The 18,948-nt window shown below is 48.7% G+C and overlaps 1 protein-coding gene and 1 pseudogene across 7 annotated transcripts in view; one reads left to right on the plus strand and one right to left on the minus strand.

Annotated features, from left to right (window-relative positions):
• ITGAL (integrin subunit alpha L) overlaps positions 1–18,948 on the plus strand; it is a 50,444-nt gene that overhangs the window by 2,002 nt on the left and 29,494 nt on the right. For 3 of the 7 annotated variants that reach the window (XR_950794.2, NM_002209.3, XM_005255313.1), the window contains exons 3-11: positions 563–657; positions 770–837; positions 4,348–4,465; positions 4,588–4,718; positions 6,696–6,841; positions 9,084–9,216; positions 9,370–9,520; positions 14,339–14,412; positions 14,511–14,643. Coding sequence is in view for 6 of the 7 variants with exons in the window: in NM_002209.3 (NP_002200.2) it covers positions 563–657; positions 770–837; positions 4,348–4,465; positions 4,588–4,718; positions 6,696–6,841; positions 9,084–9,216; positions 9,370–9,520; positions 14,339–14,412; positions 14,511–14,643 (1,049 nt within the window). In the remaining variant the exon portion in view is untranslated. Of the gene's footprint in view, positions 1–562; positions 658–769; positions 838–4,347; positions 4,466–4,587; positions 4,719–6,695; positions 6,842–9,083; positions 9,217–9,369; positions 9,521–14,151; positions 14,246–14,338; positions 14,413–14,510; positions 14,644–18,948 lie in introns of those variants that run through there. The other 4 variants (XM_006721044.2, NM_001114380.2, XM_047434073.1 and 1 more) reach the window with 3 other exon arrangements.
• Positions 8,395–8,451, minus strand: RNU7-61P (RNA, U7 small nuclear 61 pseudogene; annotated as a pseudogene).

An 18,948-nucleotide genomic window follows, 5' to 3' on the forward strand; every position in this document is an offset into this window, starting at 1 on the left:
CAGAGACTGTAAATGCAAAGGAACCTTAATTTTCTAGGATTTTAGCATTTGGAATTATTTCTCTGCGATTCTGTAGGGAAGAGATGAGGACGGAGGCATCTTCTTTTTTTTTTTTTCTTTTTTTTTTTTTTGAGAGGGAGTTTTCGCTCTTGTCGCCCAGGCTGTAGTGCAACGGTTAGATCTCACCTCTCTGCAATCTGTGCCTCCCAGGTTCAAGCCATTCTCCTGCCTCAGCCTCCCAAATAGATGGGATTACAGGCATGCACCACCATGCTGGGCTAATTGTTGTATTTTTAGTAGAGACGGGGTTTCACCATATTGGCCAGGCTGGTCTCAAGTTCCTGACCTCAGGTGATCCACCGACATCGGCCTCCCAAAGTACTTTGGCCTCATGCGAAAGTTACAGGCATGAGCCACCCCACCTGGCCAGAGGCACCTTCTTGAAGGGGAATGGCTGCAGTGCTTGGAGAAATGAGACAGGAGATCTGAACCTCCTTAGCAGGCAGGAGTAGATGGGTACAGATCTGGGCCACTCCCTCTCACAGGTGAGATTTCTCACCAGGGTCATCGTGGGAGCTCCAGGGGAGGGGAACAGCACAGGAAGCCTCTATCAGTGCCAGTCGGGCACAGGACACTGCCTGCCAGTCACCCTGAGAGGTGAGTAACTGGGGGGTGAGCTGGGAGGAATGGGATCTTGGGGAAACTGAGGCTGGCCCCAGCCCACCTAGACTGCCTGAGCTCCTCCAGACCAACCTTCTGGTGCCTACAGGTTCCAACTATACCTCCAAGTACTTGGGAATGACCTTGGCAACAGACCCCACAGATGGAAGCATTTTGGTAAGAATTTTGTGCAGTGGTGTTATCAGAGCCTGTGAAGCTCAATTCAAGTAATGAGAGAAGAAAAGAAGAAGAATGTGGATAAAAGTTCCCACAGATGGTCAAAGGCATCAGAGTCAATTAGTGTTTATTGAGAACCAATGATGAACCAGCCTTTTTTTTTTTTTTTTTTTTTTTTTTGAGACAAGGTCTCATTCTATTATTCTATTGCCCAGGCTGGAGTGCAGTGGCGTGATCACAGCTCATTGTAGCCTCAACCTCCCTGCACTCAAGTAATCCTCCCACCTCAGCCTCCCAATTAGCTGGGACTATAGGCGCATGCTACCATGCCCAGCTAATTTTTATATTTTTTGTAGACAGAGAGTGTCACCATGTTGCCCAGACTGGTCTTGAGCTCAAGAATCCTCCTGCCTCTAATCCCAGCACTTGGGAGGCCGAGGCAGGCGGATCACGAGGTCAGGAGATCGAGACCATCCTGGCTAACACGGTGAAACCCCCATCTCTACTAAAAACACAAAAAATCAGCCGGGCATGGTCGCGGGCGCCTGTAGTCCCAGCTACGCAGGAGGCTGAGGCAGGAGAATGGTGTGAACCCGGGAGGCGGAGCTTGCAGTGAGCCGAGATCATGCCACTGCACTCCAGCCTGGGCGGCAGAGTGAAATTCCGTTTCAAAAAAAAAAAAAGAATCTTCCTGCCTCAGCTTCCAAAGTGCTGGGATTACAGGTGTGAGCCACCACACCCAGCAGAGCCAGCTATTTTCAATAACTTAACCTCACTTTTCTTCCAAATATGAAATATCTGTGATCATTGATATGCAATATGATTTTTAGTGGTATACAAACTTTTAATGTTTTCATGGTTATAAATTTAATGGCTTATTAGAAAAAAATATATGACAAGCACATCAAATTTATAATTTCTTACATCATATTGCTTAGGAAGAGGCTGAAGTTAAACAAAAATTTAAAGGAAAATATTAAGAAAATAATAGTATGCTCATATGGCAGATATTGTGAAGTATTACACAAATGCCTAAAGTTTAGGAAACACTGCTTTTTTTTTTTTTTTTGAGACAGAGTTTCACTCTTGTCACCCAGGCTGGAGTGCAGTGGCATGATCTCAGTTCACTGCAACCTCCGCCTCCTGAGTTCAAACGATTCTCCTGCCTCAGCCTCCGGAGTAGCTGGGATTACAGGCGTGTGCCACCATGCCTTGGCTAATTTTTGTATTTTTAGTAGAGATGGGGTTTCGCCATGTTGGCCAGGCTGGTCTCGTACTCCTGACCTGAGGTGATCTGCCCGCCTCGGCCTCCCAAAATGCTGGGATTACAGGCATGAGCTACCACACCTGGTCACTTTATTTCTTTTAAACCCTCAAGACACTCCGGTGAGATAGGGATCAGTGTACACATTTCACACACGAGGAAACAGGACCAAAGGGTTAAGAGACTTGACCAAGGTCACATGGTTGCAAAGTGGTAGAGTCAGGATTTGAATAAAATTCTCATTTGATCCCAAGTTCATTGCTCTCTCCAACTTATCCCAGCCAGCATCCTTCTGTGTGAGAGATAGAAGACTGAGTGAAATATTCATCCAGTATTTAAGTAGAGCTTGTTTATTTAGCTACTATTATAGCCAGGCATTGGGCGAGGTTCTGACAGGGGAAGGGGAGTGAGATACAAAGTTGATGAGGCCGGGCTGGTGGCTCACATCTGTAATCCCAGCACTTTGGGAAGCCAAAGCTGGAGGATTGCTTGAGGCCAGGAGTTCAAGACCAGCCTGGTCAATCCTGTCCCTACAAAAAAAAAAAAAATGTTTTTTTCATTAGCTGGGCATGGTGGCACACACGTGTAGTCCCAGCTACTTGGGAGGATCAGTTGAGGCCAGGAGTTCAAGGCTGCAGTGAGCTTGATCATACCACTACACTACAGCCAGGGAGACAGAGTGAGACCTGTGTCTAAAAAGAACAAAAACAAAACAAAGCAAAAAGATGACCATGATACAAGCCCAGACTTTGAAGAAATTGCAATCTGGCAGGAAAGGGTCATAAATGAAAGAAATGACTTTGGGAGGCCGAGACAGGTGGATCGCTTGAGCCTAGGAGTTTAAGACTGGCCTGGGCAACATGGCAAAATGCCATCTCTACAAAAAAAAAAAATAGCCAGGCATGGTGGCGTGTGCCTGTAGTCCCAGCTATTTGGGAGGCTGAGGTAGGAGAATCACCTGAGCCCAGGAAGTTGAGGCTGCAGTGAGCCATGATTGTCCCACTGCACTCCAGCCTGGGTGATGGGAGTGAGACCTGAAAAGAAAGAAAGCAAGGAAAGAAAGCAAGAAAGCAAAGAAAGGAAAGAAAGAAAGGACGGAGGGAGGGAGGGAAGGAAGGAAGGGGAGAGGAGGAGAGAGAGATAGGAAGGAAGGAAGAAGAAAAAGAAAGATGAAGGAAGGAAGGAGAAGGAAGGAAGGAAAGAAAGAAAAGGCTGGGTGCAGTGGCTCACTCCTGTAATCCCAGCACTTTGGGAGGCCGAGGTGGGCAGACACAAGGTCAGGAGTTTGAGACCATCCTGGCCAATATGGTGAAACCCCGTCTCTACTAAAAGTACAAAAATTAACTGGGCGTGGTGGTGGGCACCTGTAGTCCCAGCTACTGAGGAGGTTGAGGCAGGAGAATCACTTGAACCCGGGAAGCAGAGGTTGCAGTGAGCCAAGATCGCACCACTGCACTCCAGACTGGGTGACAAAGCGAGACTCCGTCAAAAAAAAAAAAGAAAGAAAGAAAAAGAAAGAAAGTGGGGGGCGGAGGGGAGGGGAGAGGAAGGGAAAAAGAAAGAAAGAGGCATGGCCGGGCGCGGTGGCTCATGCCTGTAATCCCAGCACTTTGGGAGGCCGAGGCAGGCAGATCACGAGGTTGGGAGATCAAGACCATCCTGGCTAACACGGTGAAACCCCGTCTCTGCTAAAAATACAAAAAATTAGCCGGGTGTAGTGGCGGGTGCCTGTAGTCCCAGCTACTCAGAAGGCTGAGGCAGGAGAATGGCGTGAACCCGGGAGGCGAAGCTTGCAGTGAGCCGAGATCATGCCATGCAGTCCAGCCTAGGCGATAGAGCGAAGACTCCATCTCAAAAAAAAAAAAAAAAAAGAAAGAAAGAAAGAGGCACTGTATATTCTGGGAATCTTGATAATTTGATTTGGCTGGAACACAGAAAAAGAGATTGGGACTAGGAGAAGATGGACCTGGAAATGTGGGGTCGTGCCCAGTGTAAGCCCAGATAAGGAGTCCAGACTCACCACCAGTCCTACAGGCGGTGAGCATCCATTGGCATAGAGCATTGGTAGGATGGGAGGGATGGACAGTAGAGACTGTGGAGGCGGACATTCCTTGCCTTGGTAACCAGTTGGATAGAGGAAGTGAGAAAGAGGACAAGGACTCTGAACGTTCCTAGTTTTGGTTGATGTTGCCCAAAAGACACATAGCAAATAGGAGACCCAAATCTTTGGCCTTTGCTTTCTTTAGGCCTGTGACCCTGGGCTGTCTCGAACGTGTGACCAGAACACCTATCTGAGTGGCCTGTGTTACCTCTTCCGCCAGAATCTGCAGGGTCCCATGCTGCAGGGGCGCCCTGGTTTTCAGGGTAAGGAACTGGGGACTCATTGGGTAAAAATACCTCCAAATGGCTGTCCCTAGAGAGAACCAGCATGGGCAGGTCAAACACCAGAGATGCTTCACTGGGTCCCTTGCGTCTGGCTTCTGCAGAATGTATCAAGGGCAACGTAGACCTGGTATTTCTGTTTGATGGTTCGATGAGCTTGCAGCCAGATGAATTTCAGAAAATTCTGGACTTCATGAAGGATGTGATGAAGAAACTCAGCAACACTTCGTACCAGGTAAAAAAGTTAGTTAGGATTCTTGGTTGCATGCAATAGATGCCTACCTGAACTGACTTAAACCATGAAAGGAAATGTTAGTATGTGGAATCCTCAGAGCCTATGGGCATGGCTATAACTGGGCCTCTGGAAGGGACAAGAACCAGGGAGTAGAAAGCTTCTAGGAGTCTCTCTAGTTCTCATTTCCTTTTTTTTTTTTTTTTTTTTTTTTTTTTTGAGATGGAGTTTTGCTCTTGTTGCCCAGGCTGGAGTGCAATGGCACAATCTCGACTCACTGCCTCCCAGGTTCAAGCAAGTCACCTGCCTCAGCCTCCCAAGTAGCTGGTATTACAGGCAACTGCCACTACACCCAGCTGATTTTTGTATTTTTAGTAGAGATGGTGTTTCACCATGTTGCCAGGCTGGTCTTGAACTCCTGACCTTGTGATCTGCCCACCTTGGCCTCCCAAAGTGCTGGGATTACAGGCGTGAGCCACCGTGCACAGCCATTTTTTCTTTTTGAGACAGGGTCTCACTGTGTCCCCAAGGCTGGAATCATGGTGGCACGATCATAGCTCACTGTAGCCTCAAACTCCTGGGCTCAAATGATCCTCCCAACTAGCTGGGACTACCCATGTGCACCACTGTGCGTGGCTAATTTTTAAATTTTCTGTAGAGATGGTTTATCATTGTGTTGCCCAGACTGGTCCCAAACTCCTGGATCTCTCAAGAGATCCTCCTGCCTTGGCCTCCCAAAGTGCTGGGATTACAGGCATGAGCCACTGTGCCCAGCTAGTTCTCATTTCTGTTTCTTTTTGCGTCTTTGCTTCCTTCTTCTCTTTTCTCAGTCTCCGTAGACTGGCTCCCTTAGCGCCTTTAGACCACATAGACCTATGGAAAGCTCCTAAGTTCATGTGTTAAAGTTCCAAGAGGGTTTTTTACCTTCCCCTCAACCAACACCTCCCTTTGCAAATTTCCAGTTCTCAGAGAAGAGGTTCTGGCTGGCGTAGCTTCAGTCAGGTGTTGATCCCCGGCCCAGCCAACTGTATCTAGTTAAGCAGCGTCACTCAGCAGAAATATGGCTGCTGGAACCCATCCCTATCAGTGACATAGGTGGACCCAGAAAACAGGAGCTCAACACACAGTGTTACATGAGGGAGCAAGGTTTATTTCATTTTATTTCTGTGTTTATTTGTATATTGCCTCATTTTCAAAAGAATTATCTGAGGCAAGGATGTGGAGTTGGGTTGCCCAGGTCCTGCATAAGAAGAGATTGAGCCAGGCATAGTGGCTCACACCTGTAATCCCAGCACATTGGGAGGCTTAGCCGGGAGGATCACTTGAAGCCAGGAGTTCGAGACCAGCCTAGGCAACATAGCAAGACCCCATTTCTACAAAAAATAAAAACTAGCCAAGTGTGGTGGCACGTGCCTGAAGTCCCAGCTACTTCGGAGGCTGACGAGGGAGGATGGCTCGAGCCTGGGAGGCTGAGGCTGCAGTGAGCTATGATTGTGACCGTGCACTCCAGCCTGGGAGACAGAACAAGACCCTGTTTTGAAAAAGAAGAAGTAGAGTTTGGGGCTGGGCACGGTGGCTCATGCCTGTAATCCTAGCACTTTGGGAGGCTGAGGCAGGTGGATCACCTGAGGTGAGGAGTTCGAGACCAGCCTGGCCAATATGGTGAAACACCGTCTCTACTAAAAACACACACACACACACACACACACACACACACACACACACCACACACACACAAATATTCGGGTGTGGTGGCACGTGCCTGTAATCGCAGCTACTTGGGAGGCTGAGGCATGAAAATCGCTGGAACCCGGGAGGCAGAGGTTGCAGTGAGCCAAGATTGTGCCAGTGCACTCCAGCCTGGGCAACAAGAGCGAAACTCCATCTAAAAAAAAAAAAAAAAAAAAAAGAAGTAGAGTTTGGAACAGACAAATGGAAAGGGATATATAACTGAATGTCATTTCTTCCTTCCTTTTCTAGTTTGCTGCTGTTCAGTTTTCCACAAGCTACAAAACAGAATTTGATTTCTCAGATTATGTTAAACGGAAGGACCCTGATGCTCTGCTGAAGCATGTAAAGCACATGTTGCTGTTGACCAATACCTTTGGTGCCATCAATTATGTCGCGTGAGTTCCCTTTTGCAGGAGAGCACGTGTCCTGTGATTTGTTCTGGGTGATCTACCCACTTCCAGCTGCAGGGCATGGGAACTCAGTAGGTAGGTACAGCAAGGGGCAGTTTATTGTCTGAATTGAAGTGGAACAATTTTACTGCAGATTCTTTTGGTTGTACGTAACAGAAATCTACTCTGTACTAATTAAATCCAAGAGAAAGTCTAAGCCAGGTGCACAGTCTGTAATCCCAGGGCTTTGGGAAGCTGAGGCAGGAGGATCTTTTGAGCCCAGAAGTTTTTGTTTGTTTGTTTGGTTTTTGGTTTTTGTTTTTGTTTTTTGAGATGGAGTTTCGCTCTTGTTGCCCAGGCTGTAGTGCAATGGCATGATCTCGGCTCACTGCAACCTCCACCTCCCAGGTTCAAGCCATTCTCCTGCCTCCGCCTTTCAAGTAGCTGGGATTACAGACCTGTGCCACCACGCCTGGCTAATTTTTTTTGTATTTTTAGTAGAGATAGGCTTTCACCATGTTGGCCAGGCTGGACTCAAACTCCTGACCTCAGGTGATCCACCTGCCTCACCCTCCCAAAGTGCTGGGATTACAGGTGTGAGTCACCACACCTGGCCTATGAGCCAGGAGTTTGAAGCTGCAGTGAGCTATGATCACACCATTGCACTCCAGCCTGGACAACAGAGCAAGATCTTAACTCTAAGAAATTAAAAATAAATTAAAAAAGAAGAGCCAGGACACCAATGTGGCCGGAGAGAAATAAGTGAGGGGGGAAAATAGTAGGTGATGAGGTCAGAGAGATCATGAGGGTCTGGATGGGTTAGTGACTTGGAGACCATAGTGAGGACTTTGGCTTTCCTCTGAGTAAGATGAGAAGTCATTAGAGGTTTTGAGTAGAGGAGTGATGATCTATGTTTTTTAAAAGATCCCTCTGGCTGCAGGGTTGATATTAGACTGTAGAGGGGGCAAGGGCGGGTGGAAGTGATAGGGCCAGTTAGAAGGCTACTGAAAAATCCAGATGAGAGACAATGGTTGTATAAACCAGGGTGGAAATCCATGAACAGGACCCGCAATAGGCCCATGTCTGTGTGGATGGAGATTGGAGAAGCATTTTGCATCCAAGATAGAACCAGAGGTCTTGACAGCAGGTGTTCATGGGTAAGACGGTTCACACCTTGCTGCTGTTCCAGCAAGAGCTATGGCCAACCCAACTTGCTCAGAGGAAGGCTGTGGGCAAAACAGGAATTTTCTTTTTCTTTTTTTTTTAGAGTCAAGGTCTCACTCTGTTGCCCAGGCTGGAGCGCAGTGACGTGATCCTAGCTCACTGCAGCCTCAAACTCCTGGGCTCAAGCGATCCTCCTGTCTCAGCCTCCTGAGTAGTTGGGACTACAATCACACACCACCATGCCTGGCTAATTGTTTTCATCTTTGTAGAGTTGGAGTCTCGCTATGTTGCCCAGAATGGTCTGGAACTCCCAGGGCAGAAATTTTTAGCCTTGGCCCATCTGGTGTTCAGTTCTCCCTTCTTTATTTTATTTTTTTAATTTTTTTGAGGGTGGAGGATTTTAGCAAAAAACAGAAAGCCTGCTAGACAAATTCTAAAAGAGCTGTAACACTAGTTCTCCCTCCTTCATCTCACATGCACAACCGCCTCCTTTGTGCTGGGAGCCAGAGATACAGCAACAAATCCAACATGGTCCTTTCCTTGAGGAACTCATGGTTTAGGGGGAAAATTGACAGAGAAATGAGTCACGGTAATTCACTAGGTTCACTGCTATGGTAGAGATCCGGAGGCAGCCTGTGGACTATGGGAAGGCAGAGGAGGTGCTGGAAGAGCTTGCTCTGGAAGAGTGACTCCCCAGTTTTCTTCAGCTGTAGGACCCTCTCTTCCACATTGAAATCTCACTTGGATCAATATCTGTAGCTGATTAAAGAGTGGTGGCCATGTGGTTGCAATGGAGGGTAGGAAGCCCAGAGTCATTCCTCACAAAACCTCCTCCTCCTGTCCATGGGCTCTGGGACACCCTCTGGACTGCCCAGGATGCAGTGTGAGGACCACTGGTCCAGAAGGAAAGGGGTGGCAGCAAAGAGGTTTAGAGGTGACTGCTGCAGGCTTGGAATCCCGGCCTGGGAGATCCAGGAAGGGCTTTTGCGTAACCAGCATGGAGGTGACTTGATGAGCAGGTGGGGAAAGAGACCTCAGGCCCTAGTTTGGGGGAGTCTCTCATCTCCTCCTTTCCTGGACACAGGACAGAGGTGTTCCGGGAGGAGCTGGGGGCCCGGCCAGATGCCACCAAAGTGCTTATCATCATCACGGATGGGGAGGCCACTGACAGTGGCAACATCGATGCGGCCAAAGACATCATCCGCTACATCATCGGGGTAGGGCCCCTGCTGCTTCCTGCATCATATCTTCCCTCTCCTCTTTCTGAACCCCAAGCCCCTTTCTCCCTGGGGCCAGACTCTTGTGAAAATAATAGCAAACTGGACTGAGGTTTGGGGGATTTCAGCTCTTCACTCTCCACTCCCTCACAGATTGGAAAGCATTTTCAGACCAAGGAGAGTCAGGAGACCCTCCACAAATTTGCATCAAAACCCGCGAGCGAGTTTGTGAAAATTCTGGACACATTTGAGAAGCTGAAAGATCTATTCACTGAGCTGCAGAAGAAGATCTATGTCATTGAGGGTGAGTGGCAGGCCCTGGGAGAGGGCTCGGGAGTCTGCATAAAGAAATTCCCCTGGGACATCAGGCCGGGCTTGGTGGCTCACACCTGTAATCCCAGCACTTTGGGAGGCCGAGGCAGGTGGATCAATTGAGCTCAGGAGTTTGAGACCAGCCTGGGCAACATGGCAAAACCCCATCTATACTAAAAATACAAAAAATAGCCAGGTGTGGTGGTGGGTGCCTGTAATCCCACTACTCAGGAGGCTGAGGCGCAAGAATCGCTTGAACTCAGGAGGCAGAGGTTGCAGTGAGCCAAGATCGCACCACACTGCACTCCAGCCTGGGTGGCAGAGGAAGACTCCATTTCAAAAAATAAAAAACAAAAAACAAAAATGGCCGGACGCGGTGGCTCACACCTGTAATCCCAGCACTTTGGGAGGCTGAGGTGGGCAGATCACCTGAGGTCAGGAGTTCGAGACCAGCCTGGCCAACATGGCGAAACCCCGTCTCTACTAAAAATACAAAAATTAGCTGGGCTTGGTGGTGCATGCCTGTAATCCCAGCTACTCAGGGGGCTGAGGCAGGAGAATCGCTTGAACCCAGGAGGCGGAGGTTGTAGTGAGCTGAGATGTGCCATTGCACTCCAGCCTGGGCAACACAGCAAGACTCAGTCTCAAACAAAACAAAACAAAACAAAAAAACAAAAAAAAACCTCCCCTGGGACATCCTATTAGAAACACAAAGAATAATAAGCACTTACTGAATATCTGATCTTGTGCCAAGGGCTTGCCTAAATAAAACAGACCTTTAGAAGGAATTTAGGAGAGGGCCATTTGAGAGCAGCCTCTGTGATCTTTCTTTCTCTTCCTTCTTTCTCTCCTTCCTTCCTTCCTCCCTTCCTTCCCTTTCCCTCTCCTCCCCTCCCCTCTCCTCCCCTCTCCTCCCCCCTTCCTCTCCCCTCCTCTTCTCTTCTTTTCTCTTCTCTCTTTTCTTTTTTTTTTTGAGACAGAGTCTTGCTCTGTTGCCCAGGCTGGAGTGCAGTGGCGCAGTCTCTGCTCACTGCAAGCTCCACTTCCCAGGCTCACGCCATTCTCCTGCCTCAGCCTCCCGAGCAGCTGGGACTACAGGCGCCAGCCACCACGCCTGGCTAATTTTTGTATTTTTAGTAGAGACAGGGTTTCATCGTGTTAGCCAGGATGATCTCGATCTGACCTCGTGACCTGCCCGCCTTGGCCTCCCAAAGTGCTGGGATTACAGGCGTGAGCCACTGCGCCCAGCCTCTTTTCTTTTTTGCTTTTCTTTCACAGGGTCTCACTCTGTCACCCAGGCTGGGGTACAGTGGCATGATCACAGCTCACTGCAGCCTTGACCTTCCAGGCTCAGGTGATCCTCCCACGTAGCTGGGACTACAGGTGTGTGATACCACACCTGGCTAATTTTTTTTTTTTTTTTTGTATTTTTTGTATTTTTTGTAGAGGCAGGGATCTCGCTATGTTGCCTGGGCTGGTCTCGAATTCCTGGCCCCAAGCAATCTGCCCACCTCGGCCTCCTAAAGTGCTAGGATTACAGGCGTGAGCCACTGCACCCGGCCCTCTCTGATATTTCTTTCTGAAATTCCATCTTCTCTTGGAGCTCAGGTTGATCTAGGACTGACCTATGTCTTGCTGGTGTGATCTGAGCCCCGCAGAGTGAATGTAATTCCTCCCCCTTCTTGCTCAACTGTCTTGCTGTCACTTATCCAAGGCTCCACATTACTTCAGAAGGGCAGGCTGGCAGGGGCCAGTGTGAAGAACCCACAAGTCTTCTTTCCTGGCCTAGAATAAGAGAAGATTTATATTGTGGTCACCAGATGGAGGACTGGTTATGGAGGGCATTTCCCCAGGAAGCTTACTTGACTGAAAGATATGTGATTCCTACAGGAAAGTCTCCTTTGCTAGGACACAGCCTTGGTGTTCGGTTCAGTTAAAGAAGCAATGGGCTGAGCGTGGTGGCTCACGCTTGTCATCCCAACACTCTGGGAGGCTGAGGCAGGCGGATCACTTGAGGTCACCCAGCTACTTGGGAGGCTAAAGTAGGAGAATCGCTTGAACCCAGGAGGCAGAGGTTGCAGTGAGCTGAGATTGTGACACTGTACTCCAGCCTGGGTGACAAGAGCAAAACTGTCTCAAAAAAAAAAAAAAAATCAGCAGCAATGGTCCAGCCTGGGCAGCATAGCAAGAAGCCATGTCTAAATAATTAATAAAAATGAAAAGTGATTTTTTAAAAAAAAGTTTTTAAAAAAAACTCACTCTCAACTGGCTTTTAAGCTGAGATATGAAAGATGAGATTCAAACAGCAATGTGAGAAAGGTGGAATGAGGGCAGAGAGAAGCACAGGTGCAAGCCCAGGGGCGGGGAAAGGGCTCGGCATGCCAGGAAAATGGAAAAAGTTCAGTGTGACCGAAGCGCAGTGAGGAAGGGAGAGAGAAGGTTGGCAGGGAGGTAAGGGTCTTCCAGGCCCTCAGAAAGAGTTTGGATTTCAGTGTGAAGATCGATGAGAAATCATGAAGGAGTTTTTTGTTGTTGTTGTTTTGAGACAGGGACTCACTCTGTTGCCCAGACTGGAGTGCAGTAGTGCGATCACGGCTCACTGCAGCCTCAAACTCCTGGGCTCAAGCAGTCCTCCCACCTTGACCTCCTGAGTAGCTGGGACTACAGATACACACCACCACACCTGGCTAATTTTTAAATTTTTTGTAGAGACAAGAGTTTCTTAGCCAGGCGTGGTGGCGGGCGCCTGTAGTCCCAGCTACTCGGGAGGCTGAGGCAGGAGAATGGCGTGAATCCTGGAGGTGGAGTTCACAGTGAGCCAAGATTGTGCCACCGCCCTCCAGCCTGGGCGACAGAGTGAGACTCCGTCTCAAAAAAAAAAAAAAAAAAAAAAGAGTTTCTACTATATTGCCTAAGCAGGTCTTGAACTCCTGGGCTCAAGCAATCTTCCTGCTTCAGCCTCACATAGTGCTGGGATTACAGGCATGAGCCACTACGCCCGGCCGAGACAGAGTTTCTACTATATTGCCCAGCCTGATCTTTAACTCCTGGGCTCAAGCAAGTCTTCTGCCTCAGCCTCACAAAGTGTTGGGATTACAGGCGTGAGCCACTGTGCCCAGCCCATGAAGAGGTTTTTTGTTTTGTTTTGTTTTGTTTTTTGAGACAGTCTTGCTCTGTCACCAGGCTGGAGTGCAGTGGTGTGATCTTGGCTCACTGCAACCTCAGCCTCCTCGGTTCAAGCGATTCTCCTGCCTCAGCCTCCCAAGTAGCTAGTAGTACAGGCGCCTGCCACCACACCCAGATAAATTTTTTGTATTTTTAGTAGAGACGGGGTTTCACCATATTGGCCAGGCTGGTCTTGAACTCCTAACCTCAGGTAATCTGCCCGCCTTGGCCTCCCAAAGTGCTAGGATTACAGGTGTGAGCCACTGTGCCTGGCTTTTTTTTTTTTCAAGACAGAGTTTCACTGTGTCAGCCAGGCTGGAGAGCAGTGGTGCGATCTTGGCTCACTGCAACCTCCAGTTGTTTTTGAGCCTCCCAGCCTCGAGCAATTCTCCTGCCTCAGCCTCCCAAGTAGCTGGGATTACAGGCATGTCCCACCATGCCTAGCTAATTTTTGTACTTTTAGTAGAGATAGGGTTTCACCATGCTGGTCAGGCTGGTCTCAAACTCCTGACCTCAGGTAATCTGCTTGCCTTGGCCTCCCAAAGTGCTGGGATTACAGGCATGAGCCACCACGCACAGCCAGTGAAGAGTTCTTAAGGAGAAGCTATATAAGCCAGGCACGGTGGTGCATACCAGTAGTCCCAGCTACTTGGGATGCTGAGGCAGGAGGATCTCTTCAGCCTAGGAGTTTGAGACTGTAGTGAGCTATGATCACACCACTGCACTCCAGCCTGGGCAACACAGCAAGACCCTGTCTCAAAAAAAAAAAAAAGAAAAAGGGTGTATTTCAAAGGCAGGAGTATCATGATTTGGTGATGTGTTGGAGATGAGATGGAGTATAGAGAAGACTCCAGGTGGATTTGGTTTCTTAGCATGGTTCATTAGGTGAGTGGGGGTGCCATTCATTGAAGTGAGAAGCCTGAGTCAGAGCAGAAACCAAGAGCTGAGTCTTGGACACATGGAGATGAGTAATTGGATATTCAAATCTGGAGGCTGGGCACAGTGGCTCACACCTGTCATTGTCCCAACACATTGGGAGGCCGAGGCGGGTGGATCACCTGAGTTCGAGACCAGGCTGGCCAACATGGTGAAACCCCATCTCTACTAAAAATACAAAAATTAGCTGGGCATGGTGGTGCACCTATAATCCCAGCTACTCGGGAGGCTGAGGCAGGAGAATCGCTTGAACCCAGGAGGCAGAGGCTGTGGTGAGCTGAGATTGCACTACCGCACTCCAGCCTCGGTGACAGAGAGAGACTCCATCTCAAAAAAAAAAAAAAAAAAAAAAAAATTAGCCAGGTGTGATGGTGTGTGCCTATAGTCCCCACTATCCAGGAGGCTAAGCCCGGAGGGTTGCTTGAGCTTGGGTGGTTGAGGCTGCAGTGAGCTGTGATTGCGCCACTGCACTCCAACCTGGGCAACAGAGCAAGACCTTGTTTCAACAACAAAAAACAAACAAATCTGGGACTCCCAGGGTAAAAGCCAACTCCGCATTAAGCCACTTCCTGGGTCTGCCTGACCCTCACATGCATGCCTTCTACCTTACCCAGAAGTAAATACCTCACTTCTTCCCCGTCCTGCCATGAATTTTTTTCACTGCATTTACTGCTGTTGGGTCTCACCTGTTCTCTGCTTTGTTCCCCAGGCACAAGCAAACAGGACCTGACTTCCTTCAACATGGAGCTGTCCTCCAGCGGCATCAGTGCTGACCTCAGCAGGGTGCGTGCTGGGCTGGAGCAATGGGCTGCAGGGAGTGCAGTTGGCTCTGGGGGGTGGGTCGGTGGGTAGCTGACCCGCTCATCTCCTTCCCTGGGCAGGGCCATGCAGTCGTGGGGGCAGTAGGAGCCAAGGACTGGGCTGGGGGCTTTCTTGACCTGAAGGCAGACCTGCAGGATGACACATTTATTGGGAATGAACCATTGACACCAGAAGTGAGAGCAGGCTATTTGGGTGAGTACTTCTCTTTTCTGCTGGGATCTTCTGGTTGTTGAGGTCAGATGGTCGCTCAGCCTGGCTTCCAAAACAATAATGAAAGCAGTTAAGCAACCAGCATGAACAAAGTCAGAGTTTAAATATGGCTATAACATTCATAATTTATTGTCTGTATTTTCTGATGCTTTGACATCTTGGGGCCGTGCTAATCCTGAAAAGACTACCTCTCCCAGGGTAGGCAAATTCCTAGAGATAGTAAACAACTTGCCTGTGAATATGCCTTGTAGCTGGTCCTAGTGGCTCATGCCTGTAATCCCAGCAGTTTGGGAGGCTGAGGCAGGTGGATCACCTGAAGTCAAGAGTTCAAGACCAGCATGGCCAACATGGTGAAACCCTGTCTCTACTAAAAATACAAAAGTTAGCCAGGCATGGTGGCGCATGCCTGTAGTCCCAGCTCTTCTGGAGGCTGAGGCAGGAGAAACGTTTGAACCTGAGAGGAGGAGGTTGCAGTGAGTGGAGATCACGCAGCTGCGCACCAGTCTGGGCAAAAGAGCAAGACTCTGTCTCAACAAACAGGGCCGAGCACAGTGGCTGACACCTGTAATCCCAGCACTTTGGGAGGCTGAGGCAGGTGAATCACCTGAGGTCAGGAGTTCGAGACCAGCCTGGCCAACATGGCAAAACCCCATCTCTACTAAAAATACAAAAATTAGTCGGGCATGATGGCGGGTGCCTTTAATTCCAGCTACTCAGGGGGCTGAGGCAGGAGAATCGCTTGAACCCAGGAGGCGGAGGTTGCAGTGAACTGAGGATCATGCCACTGCACTCCAGCCAAGATGACAGAGCGAGACTCCGTCTTAAAAAAAAAAAAAAAAAAAAGGCCTTTTATATGCAAACCAGCCAATTCCGAGCCCATATCCTCAGCCACCTCCTTTGTCTAATCCTTACACAATAAGCCGATAGTTCCTCTGCCCTAAATCAGCTCAGAGCCAGGCATCAGTCAACCAGAGGCCACCGCTATAGCCCAGAGCCAGCCAAAATTATTCAAACTGTGCAATCCTAAACTTGCTTGAACTTGCCAACCTAGCTCGCCACCCTTCCTTGTGGAAACCACAAGAAGAGCTCTGGGCCATGCTCTTCCCTGGCTCCTCCTGCCTCTTCACTAATGTAGTGTTTCCCTCTCTGGCCCTGCATGGCATCCAGTGCCTACTCCCTCTTGGAACTGTGGCTAGTAAACTTCTTTCAATGACAGTGACTCTCTGTATCATCAGTCACACCTATATATTAAATCCCAGGCACATTTTAAAACAACCTGCCTTATTAGTAAGAGGACTGGCCACTCCTTTTTAAGGCTTCCTCCTCTTGAATTGTCCAAGAGCACCTGAGGTCAAGAGTTCAAGACCAGCCTGGCCAACATGGTGAAACCCCGTCTCTACTAAAAACACAAAAAAATTAGCTGGACGTGGTGACACGCACCTGTAGTCCCAGCTACTTGGGAGGCTGAGGCAGGAGAATCACTTGAACCTGGGAGGCGGAAGTTACAGTGAGCCGAGATTGCACTACTGCACTCCAGCCTGGGTGACAGAGAGAGACTTTGTCTCAAAAAAAAAAAAAAAATTAGTTGGGCATGGTTGTGCATGCCTGTGGTCCCAGCTACTTGGGAGGCTGAGATGGGAGGATCACTTGAGCCTGGGAGGTTAAGGTTGCAGTGAAAAAAAAAAAAGAAGAAATGACTCTAAAATTTAATCTCTAGCTGGGTGTGGTGGCTCACACTGTAATCCCAGCACTTTGGGAAGCTGAGGCTGGCAGATCATTTGAGGTCAGGAGTTCGAGACCAGCTTGGCCAACATGGTGAAAGTCCGTCTCTATAAAAATGCAAAAAATTAGCCAGGCATGGTGGCATGCACCTGTAATCCCAGCTACTCGGGAGGCTGAGGTAGGAGAATCTCTTGAACTCTGGAGGTACAGGTTGCAGTGAGCCGAGATCGTACCACTGCAGTCCAGCCTGGGTGACAGAGCAAAACTCTGTCTCAAAAAAAAAGAAAAAAGAAAAAAAGTTTAATCTCTAGTTAGACACCCACCCCACTATACACACACATAAATATATACATATATGTGGATAGATAAATAAACAGAATCCTGAGTGTCTACTATGCTACTTATCCTTCAGATCTCAGTTTAGCTATCACTAGTGTAGCACTAAGCATTTTATATACATGTCTTATTTAACTCTCAAAACACACCCCATGAGATTGGTACTGTTCCTTTTTTTTTTCTTTAGACATAGGGTCTCACTTTGTCACCTAGGCTGGAGTGCAGTGGCACCATCTTGGCTCACTGCTGCCTTGACCTCCTGGCTTTGAGCAATCCCCCTTCCTCAGCCTCCCAAAGTGCTGAGGTTATAGCCGTGAGCCACAATGTCCAGCCTCTTCCCTTTTTGTAGATGAGAAAACTGAGGCACAGAGGCATGAAGCAATTTACTTAACTACTACACAGCTAGGAAGCAGTAGCACTAGGATTTAAACCTTGTCTCATGGAGTTCAAGAATTTGGAGTTCTTAACCCTTGTGCTTCCAGACTCCATACGACAATAGGGAAGCGGTTCCGTCTCTTCACTCTTCCTTCCATGTGCTGTAGGGCCTTGGACAGCTCTGTTTTCTTCACTCACTTTCAACTGCTCTGCACAGAGACCATCAGATGGGGTCAGTGACTCATCTCAGAGGATTCTTGCTGGTGGCTCTTGGCTCTAGCCCAATCTTGGGTCCAATTTCCTGCAGTGTTTCCTCGAACATTCAATAGAGGTTGTCCTGGTATCTTAGAGGAAAGAACCTCATTACAGGAAGTTGAAGATGAAGACAGCCTGACACTGACATGATATCTTTTTTTTCTTTTTTTTTTTTTTTGAGACTGAGTCTCTCTGTCGCCCAGGCTGGAGTGAAGTGGCGCGATCTTAGCTCACTGCAACCTCCACCTCCCAGGTTCAACTGATTCTCTTGCCTCAGCCTCCTGAGTAGCCGGGACTACAGGTGCCCGCCACCACGCCCAGCTAATTTTTTGTATTTTTAGTAGTGATGGGGTTTCACCATGTTGACCAGGCTGGTCTCAAACTCCTGACCTCAGGTGATCCACCCGCCTTGGGCTCCCAGAGTGCTGGGATTACAGGCGTGTGCCACCGCTCCCGGCCAACATGGTATCTTTTTTTTTTTTGAGACGGAGTCTTGCTCTGTCACCCAGGCTGGAGTGCAGAGGCGCTATCTCAGCTCACTGCAAGCTCCGCCTCCTGGGTTCACGCCATTCTCCTGCCTCAGCCTCTCGAGTAGCTGGGACTACAGGTGCCCGCCACCATGCCCAGCTAATTTTTTGTATTTTTAGTAGAGACGGGGTTTCACCGTGGTCTCGATCTCCTGACCTCGTGATCCGCCTGCCTCGGTCTCCCAAACTGCTGGGATTACAGGCGTGAGCCACCGCGCCCGGCAACATGATATCTTTAAGCATGAAAATTTTTCAAGTTTCCTGCTTTATTTTATTTTGTTAGAGACAGGGTCTCACTCTGTCACCCAGGCTAGAGTGTAATGGCACCATCGTAGTTCAAGGCAGCCTTGAACTCCTGGGTTCAAGCAATCCTTTTGCCTCTCAGCCTCTCTAGTACCTGGGATCACAGGTGTGCATCACCACACCTGGCTAGTTTTTGTAATTTTTTGTAGAGACGGGGTCTCACTATGTTTCCCAGGCTGGTCTCAAACTTCTGGCCTAAGTGATCCTCCTACCTCGGCTTCCCAAAATGTTAGGATTACAGGTGTGAGCCACTGCACTTGGCCCAGACATGCTTTATTTTTAATATCCATGCCAACTTTGCATTCTTCTGACTAATATATACCATTTTATTTTATTTTATTTTATTTTATTTTATTTTATTTATTTATTTATTTTGAGACGGAGTCTCGCTCTGTCGCCCGGGCTGGAGTGTAGTAGCGAAATCTCAGCTCGCTTCAAGCTCCCCCTCCCAGGTTCACATTCTCCTGTCTCAGCCTCCCAAGTAGCTGGGACTACAGGCGCCTACCACCACGTCCAGCTAATTTTTTGTATTTTTAGTAGAGACGGCGTTTCACCGTGTTAGCCACGATGGTCTCGATCTCCTGACCTTGTGATCCACCTGCCTCGGCCTCCCAAAGCGCTGGGATTACAGGCGTGAGCCACCGCACCTGGACTCCCATTTTAATTTATTATTTAAGAAAAAAGAGGCCGGGCACAGTGGCTTATGCCTGTAACCCCAGCACTTTGGGAGGCTGAGGTGGGTGGATCACCTGAGGCCAGGAGTTTGAGA

This window comes from Homo sapiens, chromosome 16, assembly GCF_000001405.40.
Source record: "Homo sapiens chromosome 16, GRCh38.p14 Primary Assembly".
Taxonomy (NCBI): Eukaryota; Metazoa; Chordata; class Mammalia; order Primates; family Hominidae; genus Homo; species Homo sapiens.